At 40.0% G+C, this 21373-nt stretch overlaps 1 long non-coding RNA gene across 1 annotated transcript in view; it reads left to right on the forward strand.

The window, feature by feature from the left end:
• Positions 1–21373, forward strand: part of LOC105379048 (uncharacterized) — a 115841-nt gene that overhangs the window by 32052 nt on the left and 62416 nt on the right. The window contains exon 2 of the long non-coding RNA XR_948500.3: positions 4130–4247. This is a non-coding gene — a long non-coding RNA (uncharacterized LOC105379048). The remainder of the gene's footprint in view (positions 1–4129; positions 4248–21373) is intronic.

Genomic DNA, 21373 nt, shown 5'->3' on the forward strand with positions numbered 1-21373 from the left:
ATGGGTTTCACATCCCAGGAATGCTGTAATTTCCATTCATGTTTAGTTGGAGAAAAGCTGCTGTAAGTAGACTTGCACAGTTCAAACTTGAGTTGTTCAAGTGTCAACTGTGTTATCTAATATCATCATCAACAACATATATGCCCAAGAAGTAGGTATAATTAACTCTATTTTATATATGAAGAAATGAGACTAAAAGGTATCAGTGGCAAAACTAAAATTTCAACTTAGGTTTTTGGACCCTTAAAGCCTCATTCATTCAATTCAATGAATATTTATTATCCACTTTATGCTAGGCACTGTTCTAGACACTTGGGATGCGTCAGTGAATGAAACAAGCTCTCTGAAGGCAATTTTCTAGCAAGGGGGGGACAGATTATAAACAATGTGGTTGGCAGAATAATGGCTCCCAAAATATGTTCATGTCCTGATCCCCAGAACCTGTGAATATGTTACACTGGATGGCAAAAAGGACTTTGCAGCTATGATTAATGTTATGAACCTTGAGATGGGGAAAGTATCGTGGGTTATCCAGTTGGGCTCAGTGTAATCACATGGGCCCTTGGAAGTGGAAGAAGAAAGCAGAAGAATCAGTCAGAGACATGGGATGGAAGAAGAGGCAGGAAAGATTTGAAGCATGAGGGGTACTTGACCTACTGTTGCTGGCTTAGAAGATGAAGGAAGGAGCCATGAGCCAAGGAATATGAGTGGCCTCTGGAAACTGGGAATGCCAACAAGGAAACAGGAACCTGAGTCTATCAATCACAAGGAACTAAATTCTGCCAGCAATCTGCATAAGCAAGAAGACAGATTCTCCCCTAGAGCCTCCAGAAATGAAGGCAGCCCTGCCAACACCTTGACTTTGGCTTTGAGAGACTCTAGCCAGAGAAAGCAGCTGAGCCCACCAGACTTTTGACCAATAGAACAATAAGATAATAAATCTCTGTTGTTTTGAACTGCTAAGTGTGTGGTAATGTGCTATGACAGTAATAGGAAATGAATACAAGCAATACATATAATAAATAAGCATATCAGTCAGTATCCAATGAGGAAAAGAAAAACCGTTCTCGATAATCAAAGCAAAAAGATTTAACGCATGTAACTGGTGGGAAAATTTCTGGAAGGGCTGGAAGAACAAAAGAGGAAAGGGAATATTACCTGTATGGCAGACTGATTGCATTTATGGTCACAATCCTTTACCCTTCCCCGTACCCAGATCCTTTGCCATGTGACTTTGGAGTCCCTCCCATAAAAGTGGAGTGCATTTCTCCACCCTATGTGACTTATGGGGCAGAAGTGATGATGAGCCACTTCTAAATCCAGGCTCATGAGGCTCTGCACGTTTCCACTTGCTGCCTCTCGGATGCCTGCCATCACCATAGAACATGCTCAGGCTCTCTTGCTGGAGGACAAGAAACCCATGTCTCAGAGTCTAGTGGCCGCAGTCAAGGCCAGCCCATCCGAGCCAACAACCAGCCAACACCTAGCTAACCCTGGATAGACAAACACTACATTCTTTTATTTTTGAATGCTACTAAAATGTTATGGTTGTATGTTTCATGGAACTATTTTGGCAATAGGTAACTTACATCCATGGAAATCAGGAAATTATCATCACTCCTGACTTAGAGGGTAAAAAGTGGGAAGGGGTGTTACTCAGAGATCAGGAAGCTGCTACTGCCCCTAGCTGATGCCCATAAGCCCAGTATTTATCACTGTACTGCTGGAGAGACTGTTGCTGCTACTAACACTGATGGAGACACTATTGCTGACGTTGCTGGAAACACTGCCACTAGAATTCAGAAAGTGATTCCCACCCCATGGTTGAAATTCATGAGTCCACAGTGTTGGAGGCATACTTGTGTTAATGAACAGAAGATAAACTCTGCCTCCATCTTCTTATCTTCATATCTCTCATTAATGCCTCCCAAGGGCAGATACTAACAAGCACAAAGCTGACCAAGGAGTACAGGAAATGTAGTTTACAGCCTTTCGGCCCCAACAGTACAAGGGAAATTAGAGAAGAAGCCTGGATGGAGCTGTGTGCTAAAGGCATTGTCTGGCACAATAAATAAATTATATGATAATTTAGAATAATAAGTACTATAGGAATAAAACAAGAAAAAACGAAAGCAGGATTTAGATAAATGAGCATGTCCTTAATCACTATGTTTTACTACCTCCCAGCTAATACATCCAGACTGTTTCGTTTTTCTAAGCCATTCCCACCCTTGGTAGATAGATAATAACAAAAGGACAAAGGTTTTTTCTGGGAAGGAGGGGCCAGTAGGGAATAGAAATACACATTAGGAAGAAGTGGGAGAATGGGAGAGGAGTCGTGCCTGGCACATGCAGGCTAAAAAAGAAAAAAGTTGCATAAACATTGCTGGGATTTAGATACCTATTTAATTCTGTTTCATAAATCATTTGTTCCTACCTATGTGCCACAAGGTACCATACTATGAACTTTGAGGAATACAAATATAGCCTGGATATCAGCAGTCTGATTGTCCTGCAAGTCCTACAAACTGCAGGTGTCAACTTGTCTGTTAGGATTTGGTTAAACTGCTTTACCTCCCATTCCATATATTGTGAAAACTCATCATTCTCTACCTATCGATCTGGGTTCTCTTGGGGTACCTGAGGGTCTGGTCCTGAATTCTTTCTACTGTATCGTTGGTTTCTGCTTGGAGTTTTTCCTCATGTATACATTATCAATCAACATAAAGCAAACTCTGTAAAATATTTAAAGAGGTTTATTCTGAGCTAATGTAAGTGACCGTGGCATGGAGACCAGTCTCAGGAGGTCCTGAAAAAGTGTGCTTGAGGTGCTCAGGGTGGTCAGGTTACAGTTTGGTTTTATACATTTTAGGGAGACAGAAGTTACAAGCAAAGGCATAAATTAATACAGTTCAGTCCCAAAAGGCGGGGCACCTCGAAGGGGCAGGGGCATGGGGGTGTAATTCAAGGGTCATAGGTGGATTCAAAAATTCTATGATTGGCCATTGGTTGAAAGAGTTAAACTAAAGACACGAAGTCAGTAGGAAGAAATGCTTAAGGGGGGTCATGGAAGCCAACATTCTTGTTACATGGATGAAGCCTCCAGGTAGGAGGCTTCAGAGACAAATAGATAGTAAACGTCTCTTTGTGGACCTTAAGAGGGCTTAGGCTTAATCTCTCCTAGATCTGGGAAAGCCCTAGCTGCATAAATGGAGATTCTCTATAGATGCAGAATTTCCCCACAAAAGACCACTTTGCAGAGCCATTTTAAAATATGTCAAAGAAATATATTTTGGGGTAAAATATTTTGATTTCCTTCAGGGTCTGCTATCTGTCATGGATGCTATACCAGAGTCAGGTTGGAATTTGGTATCTTATTGCCGAAGAGTCTGTTTTGTCAGTCTTATGATCTCTATCTTGGTCAGTTGTGCCTAAACTCCAAAAGAGGGAGTGTAAGGAGGCCTGTCCGACCTTCCTTCCTGTCAGGGCCGGGAATTCATTCAGTTTTTCAGGTTCTTCTGGGGTCCCCTGGCCAAGGGGGGAGGTCAGTTCAGTCAATTGGTGGGGGGATGTAGGATTTTATTTTTGGTTTACAACATAATCCAAATCCCTTTATTATATCAGGTCAACATCAGATATTGCCACAGTCCCTTCTGGCCCCAAAGTACCCACTGCCTAATGCTATATCTGGGCAGATGTAATGGCAGGCTCAGGGCCATGGAGGGAGCTTGGCAATGCAGAAACGGAAATCTGGTGTAAAACAACTTAGACATCCTTATCTCGACACATCTGTCAGTCTTCTCCCCACCTGGAGGAATTTTCATTTATATCTCACCGACATTCCCTTTTACTCAGATTCCCTTCTCCCTATCTCACTTCCTTCCTTCCTCAACCGGTAAAAGTTTGACCTCCTCTCCCACCAAAATTTCTGTTAAGTGGAGCAATTGAACTGTCTTTGTTTTACCATGTGACCATTATCTAGGTAGGCTACCCAACTTTCCTATTAAGCTGTGTTCCTGAACAAACACATAGTTCCCTCCTTAAACAAAATTTTGCAGTCAGCTTTTAAAATCATTTTCCTTCTTCCCATCAAAACAAAGATAATAAGCCAGTGCTTCCATATTCACAGGTACTTCCTGGTATACACACAGGAGTTGCCTGCAGAAAACGTCCTGCAGAATGTTCCAGGAATTTGATCTCCATGTACTGTTCTGAGAGGCTAGCCTGCGGAGAATGAAAGTAAGGAGGTATGTCATAAGATCAAGATATTTTGAAAATATGCACCCTCATTTCACATGGTAAATGGGAAATTAATTATTTTCTTTTAAAAATAAACACCCAGGGAACTTTTGTTTCTATAAGAAAGACTAGGTAATTTGTTCTTCTTTATTTTTTAAATGTTTTTATTTTATTTATTTTTATTTTGTGGGTATATAGTAGGTATATATCTTTATGGGGTACATGAGATATTTTAATACAGGCATGTAACATATAATAATCACATCGGGGTAAATGGGGTACCCATCACCTCAAGCATTCATTCTTTGTGTCATAAGCAATCCAATTATACTCTTTTAGTTATTATGAAATGTATAATTAAATTATTTTTGACTATAATCACTTTGTTGTGCTAGCGAATACTAGGTCTTATTCATTCTTTCTTTCTAACTATTTTTTTGTACCTGCTAACTTTCCCCACTTCCCCTCCCCCACTACCCTTCCCAGTCTCTAGTAACCATCCTTCTGCTCTCTAGCTCCTGAATTCCATTGTTTTAATTTTTAGCTCTTGCAAATAAGTGAGGGCATATGAAGTTTGCCTTTCTGTGCCTGGCTTATTTCATTTAACATACTGACTTCTGGTTCTATCCATGTTGTTGCAAATGACAGTATCTTATCCCTTTTTATGGCTGAATAGTACTCCATTGTGTATAGGTACCACATTTTCTTTAGAGGACTAGGTAATTTGAACCAAGCCTTTGACTGAGGGCAAACAGAAAAGCTGGATGAAAAAATACACACACACACACACACACACACACACACACACACACACACACACACACATACACACACTTTAAAATATCAGAGAGCTAATAAGGTAGTTAAGAATTATTTTTCTATGATCTAGGAAAAGACAGAAATATATAGAGTTGAGCCTGGCAAATAGGGCTTTTTTCCTTGGAAGTGCTTAATGATTTCTGAATAGACTGTTGAAAGGCAGAGCAGAATTTTGAGCAGCTTCAGAGGCTAAAGGATGAAAACTGGAGTCTAGGACCCTCTAAGATAACATATTTCCATGCTTTGAATTGGAACCATCAAAGCCTGAATTCTAGGAATAAGGATAAATCAGAATTATAAAACAGATTTATAGTGAGAGTGCTAGAAAAAAGAGAGAGAATGGTACAGAAAGAATAGTTGAAGAGAATTTTGAAGAAAATAGCCTGGGAATTTTCTAAGAATGATGAAATCATCCAGCCACAGATTTAAGAAATATCATGAACCTCAAGAAGGCTAAATATAAAGGTCCTTTAAATTTACATATAAATTGTGATAATTTCTACAAAAGTATCTGATTTAGATTGCATAGAATTTATAGACCAATTTGGGATGATTAACATCTTTTTAATTTTATTTTCTTATTTATTTATTTATTTATTTATTTAGACAGGGTCTTCCTCTCTGTTGCCCAGGCTGGAGTGCAATGGCGCAATCTCGGCTCCCTGCAACTTCTGCCTCCTGGACTCAAGCAATTCTCCTGCCTTAGCCTCCCAAGTTAGCTCAGACTACAGGGCCAAGCCACCATGCCTAACTAATTTTTGTATTTTTTGTAGTGATGGAGTTTCGCCACATTGCCCAGGCTGGTCTTGAACTCCTGAGTTCAGTTGATCTGCCTACCTCGGCTTCCCAAAGTTGCTAGGATTACAGGCATGAACAACCATACTGGTCCAGGGATAATTAACATCTTAACAAAATGAATCTTCCAATCCATGGAGACAGTATATTTTTCCATTTATTTAGTTTTTCTTTAATTTCTCTTATCAGTATGTGCACAATTATTTTTAATCATATTTTTACAAAACAAATAACTCACATGTTCATCAATGGGGTAGTTGTTAAATAAAATTATTACACATACATACAAACAACGAAATTTTATCCAGCTGTTAAAATGATTCAGAACTCCCATATAAAGATGGTAAAGTAAAGCTGTATCACAGAATTTATTATCTAACAATGTGATTTTTTGTTGCAAAAACATGGATAAAGAGCCCCAAATTTAACCAAACAAGAAAAGGGGCTCAAACTTATACTATAAACTTCAAAAAGTATTGGGCAAAGAAAATACAGAAAGTTCAAGTGCAGTCCTGCATCATTTCTAAGGCTACTCCACCTCCACCAGAATCAGTACTGGCGTAATATTGTAAGTAAGAGAAATCCTGAGAATTTTGAGCAAAATCAACCAGTTCATCCTGAGAATTTTGAGCAAAATCAACCAGTTCAAAGAGAAATAGACTTACAGTTGATAAGGAAGGCAGATAATACCTTCCTTATCTGCCTAGGCAGATAAGCATAAGGATAATTGGCTCTGCTAAATAAAGCAATCCAATAAAGAAGGAGCAAAGGGAGCATTCCAAATTTTCAAAAAGAAAGTACAGAAAATATCCTTGAAGTGAAGGATAAAAAGATGTACACTTAAAGGCATAGTCTGTATCTCAGAAAACTGACATAAAGCAATAGACACTGACACACTGGTTAAGTTGCTGAACATGAAAGAATTCTTCAAATATTCAGCCAGAATAAAGCGAGTCACCAAAAGAAGGAAAATGTGGGATGGCTTCCAAATTCTCTACAGGAACACTTATTACTGAAGACAATGGAGCAATGTATAGACATTTCCCAGGGTTAAAGAATGACACAAGGATACTTGGCACAGCAAAAATTGTTAATCATGAATCAAGGAGACAGGCATTCATTTTCAAATATGAACAATCTGTGAGTCCTTTAAAACCATTTTGCCAATGAAATCCAGCCAATCAAGAACTAAATAAAAGTTAATAATCCAGGAATGGAGAAGTCATAGAAAAAGGATTGTTGTAAACAATTAATTCAGTTATGTAGAGAATGAAACTAAACATCTGGGAAAATTCTGGTTGCAATACAGAATTTAATGTTATCAACTTGAGCAAAGTAAGAATAACATAATTAACAAAAAAAATAGAGATGCGGGGGAAAAAGGAGAGAAGAAACAGATGCATACTGACTTATTCACCTTTCACAGTCAGGAGTCAACTAATGCTGTTGGGACAAAAGACTGGGTGTGATGGCTCATGCCTGTAATCCCAGCACTTTGGGAGGCTGAAGTGAGTGGATCAGTTGAGGTCAGGAGTTTGAGACCAGCCTGGCCAACATGGTAAAACCCCATCTCTACTAAAAAATAATAATTAAAAAAAAATTGCAAAAACAATGACAAGTTTGAGACTAATCATTTAATTTTTAAAATATTTTATCTTAACCTTAAACAAATTTTATAGGAATTAATACTATTTCTTGTAGTGAAAAATTCTGATCTAGTACAGCTATTTCTTTCATTTCCCATCAGCATATTTTTCTTCTGTTAAATTCAAATTAGATTTCCAAAATTACAACACATAAAACTACACAGATGAATGTCACAGACTCACCTTATGCAAAAGAAACAGATACAAAGGAATACATACTATTTATTTCCATTTATATAAAGATCCAAAAGATGAAACAAATGTACCCCTGCATGGTGGGAGTAGGAGACTAGTGACTGGGGCTAGGCATTAGGGAGCCTTCTGTTGCACTGGGAATGTCTTATATGTGGGTTGCATACACATGGGTGTGTATATATACATACAAATATATATACATACAAAGTGTATACCACTGAGGTATACACTTAACATTTGTGCATGTTGCTGTGCATATGTAGGTTTTTTAACATTTAAATTAAATATAATGCTTTTTATTTTAAAATAGCATAGATAGTAAAGTTTAATTTTTTTCTTCAACTTTTACTTTAAGTTCTGGGGTACATATGCAGGATGTGGAAGTTTGTTACATAGGTAAACATGTGCCATGGTTGTTTGCTGCACAGATCAACCCATCAGCTAGGTATTAAGCCCAGCATCCATTAGCTATTCTTCCTGATGCTTTCCCTCCCCATGCCCCACCCCTTATAGGTCCCAGTATGAGTTATTCCCTCCCATGTGTCCATGTGTTCTCATCATTCAGTTCCCACTTACAAGTGAGAGCATGCAATGTTTGGTTTTCTGTTCCTGCATTAGTTTGCTGAGGATAACGGCTTCCAGCTCCATCCATGTCCCTGCAAAGGACATAATCTCATTCCTTTTTATGGCTGTATAGTATTCCATGGTGTATATGTACCACATTTTCTTTATCCAGTCTATTATTGATGGGTATGTTGGTTGATTCCATGTCTTTGCTATTGTGGTTGCAAGGAACATACGTGTGCATGTATCTTTATAATAGAATGATTTATATTCCTCTGGGTATTCACCCAGTAATGGTATTGCTGGGTCAAATGGTATTTCTGCTTCTAGTTCTTTGAGGAATTGCCAAACTGTCTTCCACAATGGTTGAACTAATTTACATTCCCACCAACAGTGTAACAGCATTCCTTTTTCTCTGCAACCTCGCCAGCATCTATTGTTTCTTGACTTTTTAATAATCACCATTCTGACTGGTGTGAGATTGTATCTCATTGTGGTTTTAATTTGCATTTCTCTAATGATCAGTGATGTCAAGCTTTTTTTCATATGTTTGTTGGCTGCATGAATGTCTTCTTTTGAGAAGTGCCTGTTCATGTCCTTTGCCCAGTAAAGTTTAATTAAAAAATTTTTTTAAATGTATCTATTCTTCTATTTATGCATATCTTCAATCTATGTGTATTTATATGTTCAAAGAGAGATATCGGGAATAAATGTCAAGTGATAGCAATTGGTAATTTCAGGGTGAAGGGATTTGGGTGATTTATTCCTTTTTTTGTTGTACTTTTCTATATTGCTTGAGTCTTTATAATCAGCATAATTAGTAAACAAAAAAATTATTTTAAAATAATGCTTCAGATATGTATGTGTGGATCCAAAAGTGTCTCAGACATATTTTTAATTTAAAAAGATTACAGGCTGGGCGTGGTGACCCACTCCTGTAATGCTAGCACTTTGGGAGGCTGAGGCACGTAGATCACTTGAGGTCAGGAGTTCGAGATCAGCCTAGACAACATGGCAAAGCCCCATCTCTACTAAAAATACAAAAAATAGCTGGGCGTGATGGTGTGCACCTGTAATCCCAGCTATTAGGGAGGCTGAGGCAGGAGAATCACTTGAACCTGGGAGGCAGAGGTTGCAATGAGCCAAGATCGTGCCATTGCACTCCAGTCTGGGCAACAGAGTATGACTCTGTCTCACACACACACACAAAAGATTATAAAATATTATATTATCCATTTTTAAGACAAACATAAACACATGTCTATGTGGTTTTCTTAAATGTCTGGAAATAGAGACTCCAAAAGAGTCTGAAAATCCCAGTAGCAAAATTTATTGGCAGCAATTATCTCTAGGTGGTGAAATTATAGATAATTATTTTTCTTTCATCTTTGCACTTCTTTATATTATATTAATTTTTAGATTTTTTTCTGATTATTTTAAGTTTTTTATAATAAAAAGGTATGTATTACTTGTATAATGAAAAAATTGCTATTTTCATTGATGGAGTAAGGGGAGGAGGGAAAGAAAATGGAAAAATTATCCATTAGGAAAGAGAATTAAAAGAATCCCATGAAGGAAATGACTAGACTTGGAGAACTGGTAGGAAAGCCAGGCCACATGTGTGAGAAATTGTTTCTGGAACTGGATTCCTGTGGACTTATAAAGAATCTGACTTTTGTGAAGTATGGCCAAAAGACTAAAGAGAGTGAGTGTATGTGTTTGGCACATGTGAAGGCAAGCACGATGCAGTTAAATGGCAAATCTCCAAACAGCTGGGCAGGGTAAGTCGTGACATTTGTAATGTCAAAGTGAGACCCCGTCTCTACAAAAAACTTAAACAATAAAAACCTAGCGAGGCGTGGTGGCACACACCTGTAGTCCCAGGTACTTGCGAGGCTAAAGTGGGGGAATCTCCTGAGCCCAGGAGTTCAAGGCTGCAGTGAGCTGTGATCACACCACTGCACTCTAGCCTGGGTGAAAGCGCAAGACCCTGTCTCTAAAATAAACACACACTCACATACTTACATACATAGATGCAATATATCTATTAGTAGTTTGTTAAAAGAGATTATGGTACATTCCCTGCATATGGAATAAAATACAACCATTAAAAGTTAAGATGCAGGGAGGGCAGCCAAGATGGCCGAATAGGAACAGCTCCGGTCTACAGCTCCCAGCGTGAGTGACACAGAAGACGGGTGATTTCTGCATTTCCATCTGAGGTACCAGGTTCATCTCACTAGGGAGTGCCAGACAGTGGGCACAGGACAGTGGGTGCAGTGCACCGTGCACGAGCCGAAGCAGGGCGAGGCATTGCCTCACTCGGGAAGCACAAGGGGTCAGGGAGTTCCCTTTCCTAGTCAAAGAAAGGGGTGACAGACGACACCTGGAAAATCGGGTCACTCCCACCCTAATACTGCACTTTTCCAACGGGCTTAAAAAACGGCGCACCAGGAGATTATATCCCGCACATGGCTTGGAGGGTCCTACACCCACAGAGTCTCGCTGATTGCTAGCACAGCAGTCTGAGATCAAACTGCAAGGTGGCAGCGAGGCTGGGGGAGGGGTGCCCGCCATTGCCCAGGCTTGCTTAGGTAAACAAAGCAGCTGGGAAGCTAGAACTGGGTGGAGCCCACCACAGCACAAGGAGGCCTGCCTGCCTCTGTAGGCTCCACCTCTGAGGGCAGGGCACAGACAAACAAAAAGACAGCAGTAACCTCTGCAGACTTAGATTTCCCTGTCTGACAGCTTTGAAGAGAGCAGTGGTTCGCCCGGCACGCAGCTGGAGATCTGAGAATGGGCAGACTGCCTCCTCAAATGGGTCCCTGACCCCTGATCCCTGAGCAGCCTAACTGGGAGCCACCCCCGAGTAGGGGCAGACTGACACCTCACACGGCCAGGTACTCCTCAGAGACAAAACTTCCAGAGGAACGATCAGACAGCAGCATTCGCAGTTCACAAAAATCTGCTGTTCTGCAGCCACTGCTGCTGATACCCAGGCAAACAGGGTCTGGAGTGGACCTCTAGCAAACTCCAAGAGACCTGCAGCTGAGGGTCCTGACTGTTAGGAGGAAAACTAACAAACAGAAAGGACATCCACACCAAAAACCCATCTGTACATCACCATCATCAAAGACCAAAAGTATATAAAACCACAAAGATGGGGAAAAAACAGAGCAGAAAAACTGGAAACTCTAAAAAGCAGAGTGCCTCTCCTCCTCCAAAGGAACGCAGTTCCTCACCAGCAACGGAACAAAGCTGGACGGAGAATGACTTTGATGAGTTGAGAGAAGAAGGCTTCAGACAATCAAACTACTCCGAGCTACAGGAGGAAATTCAAACCAAAGGCAAAGAAGTTAAAAACTTTGAAAAACATTTAGACGAATGTATAACTAGGATAACCAATACAGAAAAGTGCTTAAAGGAGCTGATGGAGCTGAAAGCCAAGGCTGGAGAACTATGTGAAGAATGCAGAAGCCTCAGGAGCCGATGCAAACAACTGGAAGAAAGGGTATCAGTGATGGAAGATGAAATGAATGAAATGAAGGGAGAAGGGAAGTTTAGAGAAAAAAGAATTAAAAGAAACAAACAAAGCCTCCAAGAAATATGGGACTATGTGAAAAGACCAAATCTACGTCTGATTGGTGTACCTGAAAGTGACGGGGAGAATGGAACCAAGTTGGAAAACACTCTGCAGGATATTATCCAGGAGAACTTCCCCAATCTAGCAAGGCAGGCCAACATTCAGATTCAGGAAATACAGAGAACACCACAGAGATACTCCTCGAGAAGAGCAACTCCAAGACACATAATTGTCAGATTCACCAAAGTTGAAATGAAGGAAAAAATGTTAAGGGCAGCCAGAGAGAAAGGTCAGATTACCCAAAAAGGGAAGCCCATCAGACTAACAGCTGATCTCTCAGCAGAAACTCTACAAGCCAGAAGAGAGTGGGGGCCAATATTCAATATTCTTAAAGAAAAGAATTTTCAACCCAGAATTTCATATCCAGCCAAACTAAGCTTCATAAGTGAAGGAGAAATAAAATACTTTACAGACAAGCAAATGCTGAGAGATTTTGTCACCACCAGGCCTGTCCTAAAAGAGCTCCTGAAGGAAGCACTAAACCTGGAAAGGAACAACCGGTACCAGCCACTGCAAAATCATGCCAAATTGTAAAGACCATCAAGGCTAGGAAGTAACTGCATTAACTAACGAGCAAAATCACCAGCTAACATCATAATGACAGGATCAAATTCACACATAACAATATTAACTTTAAATGTAAATGGACTAAATGCTCCAATTAAAAGACACAGACTGGCAAATTGGATAAAGAGTCAAGACCCATCAGTGTGCTGTGTTCAGAAAACCCATCTCACATGCAGAGACACACATAGGCTCAAAATAAAAGGATGGAGGAAGATCTACCAAGCAAATGGAAAACAAAAAAAGGCAGGGGTTGCAATCCTTGTCTCTGACAAAACAGAGTTTAAACCAACAAGATCAAAAGAGACAAAGAAGGCCATTACATAATGGTAAAGGGATCAATTCAACAAGAAGAGCTAACTATCCTAAATATATATGCACACAATACAGGAGCACCCAGATTCATAAAGCAAGTCCTGAGCGACCTACAAAGAGACTTAGACTCCCACACAATAATAATGGGAGACTTTAACACCCCACTGTCAACATTAGACAGATCAACGAGACAGAAAGTTAACAAGGATACCCAGGAATTGAACTCAGCTCTGCACCAAGTGGACCTAATAGACATCTACAGAACTCTCCACCCCAAATCAACAGAAGATACATTTATTTCAGCACCACACCACACCTATTCCAAAATTGACCACATGCTTGGAAGTAAAGCTCTCCTCAGCAAATGTAAAAGAACAGAAATTATAACAAACTGTCTCTCAGACCACAGTGCAATCAAACTAGAACTCAGGATTAAGAATCTTACTCAAAACCGCTCAACTACATGGAAACTGAATAACCTGCTCCTGAATGACTACTGGGTACATAACGAAATGAAGGCAGAAATAAAGATGTTCTTTGAAACCAACAAGAACAAAGACACAACATACCAGGATCTCTGGGACACATTCAAAGCAGTGTGTAGAGGGAAATTTATAGCACTAAATGCCCACAAGAGAAAGCAGGAAAGATCCAAAATTGACACCCTAACATCACAATTAAAAGAACTAGAAAAGCAAGAGCAAACACATTCAAAAGCTAGTAGAAGGCAAGAAATAACTAAGATCAGAGCAGAACTGAAGGAAATAGAGACAGAAAAAACCCTTCAAAAAATTAATGAATCCAGGAGCTGGTTTTTTGAAAGGATCAACAAAATTGATAGACTGCTAGCAAGATTAATAAAGAAGAAAAGAGAGAAGAATCAAATAGATGCAATAAAAAATGCTAAAGGGGATATCACCACCGATCCCACAGAAATACAAACTACCATCAGAGAATACTACAAACACCTCTACGCAAATAAACTAGAAAATCTAGAAGAAATGGATAAATTCCTCGACACATACACCTTCCCAAGACTAAACCAGGAAGAAGTTGAATCTCTGAATAGACCAATAGCAGGCTCTGAAATTGTGGCAATAATCAATAGCTTACCAACCAAAAAGAGTCCAGGACCAGATGGATTCACAGCCGAATTCTACCAGAGGTACAAGGAGGAGCTGGTACCATTCCTTCCGAAACTATTCCAATCAATAGAAAAAGAGGGAATCCTCCCTAACTCATTTTGTGAGGCCAGGATCATCCTGATACCAAAGCCGGGCAGAGACACAACCAAAAAACAGAATTTTAGACCAATATCCTTGATGAACATTGATGCAAAAATCCTCAATAAAATACTGGCAAACCGAATCCAGCAGCACATCAAAAAGCTTATCCACCATGATCAAGTGGGCTTCATCCCTGGGATGCAAGGCTGGTTCAATATACGCAAATCAATAAATGTAATCCAGCATATAAACAGAACCAAAGACAAAAAACACATGATTATCTCAATAGATGCAGAAAAGGCCTTTGACAAAATTCAACAACCCTTCATGCTAAAAACTCTCAATTAATTAGGTATTGATGGGATATATCTCAAAATAATAAGAGCTATCTATGACAAACCCACAGCCAATATCATACTGAATGGGCAAAAATTGGAAGCATTCCCTTTGAAAACTGGCACAAGACAGGGATGCCCTCTCTCACCACTCTTATTCAACATAGGGTTGGAAGTTCTGGCCAGGGCAATTAGGCAGGAGAAGGAAATAAAGGGTATTCAATTAGGAAAAGAGGAAGCCAAATTGTCCCTGTTTGCAGATGACATGATTGTATATCTAGAAAACCCCATTGTCTCAGCCCAAAATCTCCTTAAGCTGATAAGCAACTTCAGCAAAGTCTCAGGACAGAAAATCAATGTACAAAAATCACAAGCATTCTTATACACCAATACCAGACAAACAGAGAGCCAAATCATGATTGAACTCCCATTCACAATTGCTTCAAAGAGAATTAAATACCTAGGAATCCAACTTACAAGGGACGTGAAGGACCTCTTCAAGGAGAACTACAAACCACTGCTCAATGAAATAAAAGAGGATACAAAGAAATGGAAGAACATTCCATGCTCATGGGTAGGAAGAATCAATATCGTGAAAATGGCCATACTGCCCAAGGTAATTTATAGATTTAATGCCATCCCCATCAAGCTACCAATGACTTTCTTCACAGAATTGGAAAAAACTACTTTAAAGTTCATATGGAACCAAAAAAGAGCCCGCATCGCCAAGTCAATCCTAAGCCAAAAGAACAAAGCTGGAGGCATCATGCTACCTGACTTCAAACTATACTACAAGGCTACAGTAACCAAAACAGCATGGTACTGCTACCAAAACAGAGATATAGATCAATGGAACAGAACAGAGCCCTCAGAAATAACGCTGCATATCTACAACTATCTGATCTTTGACAAACCTGAGAAAAACAAGCAATGGGGAAAGGATTCCCTATTTAATAAATGGTGCTGGGAAAACTGGCTAGCCATATGTAGAAAGCTGAAACTGGATCCCTTCCTTACACCTTATACAAAAATTAATTCAAGATGGATTAAAGACTTAAACGTTAGACCTAAAACCATAAAAACCCTAGAAGAAAACCTAGGCATTACCATTCAGGACATAGGCATGGGCAAGGACTTCATGTCTAAAACACCAAAAGCAATGGCAACAAAGCCAAAATTGACAAATGGGATCTAATTAAACTCAAGAGCTTCTGCACAGCAAAAGAAACTACCATCAGAGTGAACAGGCAACCTACAAAATGGGAGAAATTTTTCACAACCTACTCATCTGACAAAGGGCTAATATCCAGAATCTACAATGAACTCAAACAAATGTACAAGAAAAAAACAAACAACCCCATCAAAAAGTGGGCGAAAGACATGAACAGACACTTCTCAAAAGAAGACATTTATGCAGCCAAAAAACACATGAAAAATGCTCACCATTACTGGCCATCAGAGAAATGCAAATCAAAACCACAATGAGATACCATCTCATACCAGTTAGAATGACAATCATTAAAAAGTCAGGAAGCAACAGGTGCTGGAGAGGATGTGGAGAAATAGGAACACTTTTACACTGTTGGTGGGACTGTAAACTAGTTCAACCATTGTGGAAGTCAGTGTGGCAATTCCTCAGGGATCTAGAACTAGAAATACCATTTGACCCAGCCATCCCATTACTGGGTATATACCCAAAGGACTATAAATCATGCTGCTATAAACACACATGCACATGTATGTTTATTGCAGCACTATTCACAATAGCAAAGACTTGGAACCAACCCAAATGTCCAACAATGATAGACTGGATTAAGAAAATGTGGCACATATACACCATGGAATACTATGCAGTCATAAAAAATGATGAGTTCATGTCCTTTGTAGGGACATGGATGAAATTGGAAATCATCATTCTCAGTAAACTATTGCAAGGACAAAAAACCAAACACCACATGTTCTCACTCATAGGTGGGAATTGAACAATGAGAACACATGGACACAGGAAGGGGAACATCACACTCTGGGGACTGTTATGGGGTGGAGGAAGGGGGAAGGGATAGCATTAGGAGATATACCTAATGCTAAATGACAAGTTAATGGGTGCAGCACACCAGCATGGCACATGTATACATATGTAACTAACCTGCACATTGTGCACATGTACTCTAAAACTTGAAGTATTAAAAAAAAAAAGTTAAGATGCATATCCGTATTATTTGTGGCTACAACACATTGATGAATAAACAAACAAGTAGCAAAAAGCATGCATAGCACATTCTCACTTTAATGTTATGTGTGCGTCTGTGTGTTTGTGCCTGTGTCTGTGTGTATATACACATACATGCACAGAAAAGAAAGCCTGGGCAGATATCTGGTAAATGTTAGCAGCTATTCTGTGAGGTGAAATTTCCAGTGATATTCACATTTGAGGTGTTTGATTTCTTTTTTTACAATGAATATAGATTTATTTCATAATCAAAAAGAGCTAGTTTCTTTTATTTGTTCTTTTTCTTTTTATTCTTTCTTTCTTTCTTTTCTTTTTTTTTTTTTTTTTTTTTTTTTTTTTGAGACAGGGTCTTATTCTATCACCCAGGCTAGAGTGCAGTGGCGTGATCACAGCTCACTGCGGCCTCCATCCTCCTGGGCTCAAGCAACCCTCCCACCTCAGCCTCTCAAGTAGCTAGGATACAAGTATGCACCAGTACACCCAGCTAAGTTTTTATTATTTATTTTTGTAGAGATTGGGGTGGGTAGGGGTCTCACTATGTTGCCCAGGTTGGTCTTGAATCCCTGGGCTCAAATGATCCTCCTGCCCTAGCCTCCTAAAGTATTGGGATTACAGGCATGAGCTGCTGCACCTGGCTTATTATTATTATTATTATTATTATTATTATTATTATTATTTGAGACAGTATCTCACTCTGTCACCCTGGCTGGAATGCAGTGGCATAATCATGGTCATCTAAGCTCAAATGATCCTCCTGCCTCAGCCTCCCGAGTAGCTAGGACTGCAGGCATGAGCCACTACTCCTGGCTTATTTGTACTTTTTTTTAATTTTTCATCCACCACTAAGAGTCATGTAAGCAAATTTCATTTTTGAATTTTAAAAATGTAAACCTTTAGAAATTTCAAACAGAGACAGTTCTCTGTAATTATTATAAAGGTCCTGATATAAATATCTACCATTTCAAATGTTTTTAACATGGCACAAAGAACCAGGAAGATAATGAAAAGTATCAGTGAAGGATATAGAATGGTGAAAGCCTAAGTGAGAATAGTTCATATTTTCTTAACCACATGGCTAAGGATTTCACCGTAGCCTCATAAAAAGAGGTAATTGAGGTTAACCTCAAAATCACACTGACCCTTTTTATGGTAGGTTACAAGGAAATGTGTGCCTAAATTAATTTTTAAAATATTTGGAGTGTAGAGCCAGCCATTTCCAGAAGGATGGAATAAGGACTTCCAATATCTGCTCCTCCATAAAAGCAAGGAAAACTCTGGGGAAGAAAAAAGTCAAAATAAACATTTTCAGAACTCTGAAAATTAATCTATTATTTACAATACTCTGCAAAGCATTTATTCAAGAGAATGGCTGAATCTCAGTAATAACAGTGAGCTTCGTGATATTTTACTTGCCCCTTCTCATGCCTTTTCCCCAGCTCTGTGGCAATCTTGAAAATCAACAGCCTGGTAATGATGGTAGCCAGGAAACCTAGCAGACTGCCAGCCACTGCAGGGAGCAAAATGGGTTTGGAGCTTCCCAAAAGCTCTATCCCCAGAGAGTTGTCACTATTTGACCTATCTGTCAGTTTCCTGAAAATTCTCATTTGCAAGGCTTCTGATGGTTAATTTTATGTGACAACCTGAATGGGTCATGGTGCCCAGATATTTCGTCAAACATTATTCTAGCTGTTTCTGTAAAGGTATTTGTTAGATGAGATTAACATTTAAAGCTGTGGACTTTGAGTAAAGCAGACTGCCCTCCATAATGTGAGTGGGACTCTAAAAAGTTGAAGGCCTTTATAGAACAAAAACTGATCTCCCCCAAGCAAGAAGAAATTCTGCCAGCAGGTTGCCTTTGGAATTCAGACTGTAATTCTTCCCTTGGTCTCCAACCTGCCAGCCTACCCTGCAGATGTTGTGCTTTGTCCCTCCACCATTATATTAAGGAATTTAAGCCAATTACTTAATACAATTACAAAATAAATCTGTTTCACTCTCCCTGTCTCTCATTCTCTATCTGTGCACAAATAATAGTTCATGTTAGCACACAACAAGATGGTGCCTTCTGAAAGCCAAGAGGGCCCTCACCAAGAATTGAATCTTCCAGCATCTTGGTCTTGAACTTCCCAGCCTCCAGAACTGTAAGAAATAAATGTCTGTTGTTAAGCCACCCCCTTTATGATATTTTGTTAGAGTAACCCAAGCTGACTAAGATACTTACCTCATATCACATACAAAAATTAACTTGAATCAAAGACCTAAATGTGTGAGCTAAAAAACTACAAAACTGTTAGAAGAAAACATAAGCCTAAATCATAATGATCTTGGATTGGGCAATGGTTTCTTAGGTATGATACCAAAAACATCATCAAAGTTAAAAACTTTTGTACTGCAAGTAATACTATTAAGAAAGTTAAAAGACAACACATAATTTGGGAAAAAATATTTTCAAATTAGCCATTAGATAAGGGACTTATATCCAGATCATATAAAGAACTCTTGTCGAGTCACTTCCAAGATGGCTGAATAGAAACAGCTCCAGTCTATAGCTTCCAGCAAGATGGACACAGAAGATGGGCAATTTCTGTATTTCCAACTGAGATACCTGGTTCATCTCATTGGGACTGGTTGGATAGAGGGTGCAGCCCACAGAGGGCTAGCCAAAGCAGGGCAAGGTGTCGCCTTGCCTCACCCTGGAAGTGCAAGGGGTCGGGGGATTTCCCTTTCCTAATCAAGGGAAGCCGTGAGTGACTGTACCTGGAGGAGCTGTACACTCACACCCAAATACTGCGCTTTTCCCACAATCTTCGCAACCGGCAGATCAGGAGATCCCTTCCCGTGCCTGGCTCAGCAGGTCCCATGCCCATAGAGCCTTGCTTGCTGCTAACACAGCAGTCTGAAATCAACCTGGGATGCAGGAGCTTGGCGGGGGGAGGGGTGTCCGCCATTGCTGAGGTTTGAGTAGGTGGTTCTATGCTCACAATGTAAACAAAGCAGCAGAGAAACTGGAACTGGACGGAGCCCACCGCAGCTCAGCAAGGCCTACTGCCTCTCTAGAATCCACCTCTGCAGGCAGGGCATATCTGAACAAAAGGCAGCAGACAGCTTCTCCAGGCTTAAACGTCCCTGCCTGACAGCTCAACAGAGCAGTGGTTCTCCTAGCAGGGCATTTGAGCTCCGATAACAAACAGACTGCCCCATCAAGTGGGTCCCTGACACCCGTGTAGCCTGACTGGGAGATACCTCCCAGTAGAGGCTGACAGACACCTCATGCAGGTGGGTGCCCCTCTGGGACAAAGCTTCCAGAGGAAGGATCAGGCAGCAATATTTGCTGTTCCCAGGCAAACAGGGTCTGGAGTGGACCTCCAGCAAACTCCAACAGACATGCAGCTGAAGGGCCTATCTGTTAGAAGGAAAACTAACGAACAGAAAGGAATAGCATCAACATCAAGAAAAAGGACATTCACACCAAAACCCCATCTGTAGGTCACCAACATCAAAGACCAAAGATAAAACCACAAAGATGGGGAGAACCTAGAGCAGAAAGGCTGAAAATTCCAAAAACCAGAATGCCTCTTCTCCTCCAAATGAACACAAGTCCTCACCAGCAAGCGAACAAAACTGGATGGAGAATGAGTTTGATGAGTTGACAGAAGTAGGCTTCAGAAGATCAGTAATAACAAACTTCTCCGAGCTAAAGGAGCATGTTCTGACCTATCGCAAGGAAGCTAAAAACCTCGAAAAAAGATTAGACGAATGGCTAACTAGAATAAACAGTGTAGAGAAGACCTTAAATGACCTGATGGTGCTGAAAACCACAGTACAAGAACTGCGTGAAGCATACACAAGCTTCAATAGCCGATTAAATCAGCAGAAGAAAGGATATCAGTGACTAAAGATCAAATTAATGAAATAAAGCGAGAAGACAAGATTAGAGAACAAAGAGTGAAAAGAAACGGACAAAGCCTCCAAGAAATATGGGGCTATGTGAAAAGACAAAATCTGTGTTTGATTGGTGTACCTGAAAGTGATGGGGAGAATGGAACCAAGTTAGAAAACACTCTTCAGGATATTATCCAGGAGAACTTCCCCAACCTAGCAAGGCAGGCCAACATTCAAATTCAGGAAATACACAACATCACAAAGATACTCCTTGAGAAGAGCAACCCCAAGACACATAATCATCAGATTCACCAAGGTTGAAATGTAGGAAAAAATGTTAAGGGTAGCCAAAGAGAAAGGTCGGGTTACACACAAAGGGAACCCCATCAAACTAACAGTGGATCTCTCTGCATAAACCCTACAGGCCAGAAGAGAGTGGAGGCCAATATTCAACATTCTTAAAGAAAAGAATTTTCAACCCAGAATTTCATATCCAACCAAACTAAGCTTCATAAGCGAAGGAGAAATAAAAATCCTTTACAGACAAGCAAATGCTGAGAGATTTTGTCACCACTGGGCTTGCCTTACAAGAGCTCCTGGCGGAAGCACTAAACATAGAAAGGAAAAACCGGTACCAGCCACTGCAAAAACATGCCAAATTGTAAAGACCATCGATGCTAGGAAGGAACTGCATCAATTAATGGGCGAAATAACCAGCTAGCCTCATAATGACAGGATCAAATTCACACATAACAATATTAACCTTAAATGTAAACAGGCTAAATGCCCCAATTAAAAGACACAGACTGGCAAGTTGGATAAAAAGTCAAGACCTATCGTCATGCTGTATTCAGGAGACCCATCTCAAGTGCAAAGACATGCATAGGCTCAAAATAAAGGGATGGAGGAAGATCTACCAA

This window comes from Homo sapiens, chromosome 5 (genome assembly GCF_000001405.40).
Source record: "Homo sapiens chromosome 5, GRCh38.p14 Primary Assembly".
Classification (NCBI taxonomy): domain Eukaryota; kingdom Metazoa; phylum Chordata; class Mammalia; order Primates; family Hominidae; genus Homo; species Homo sapiens.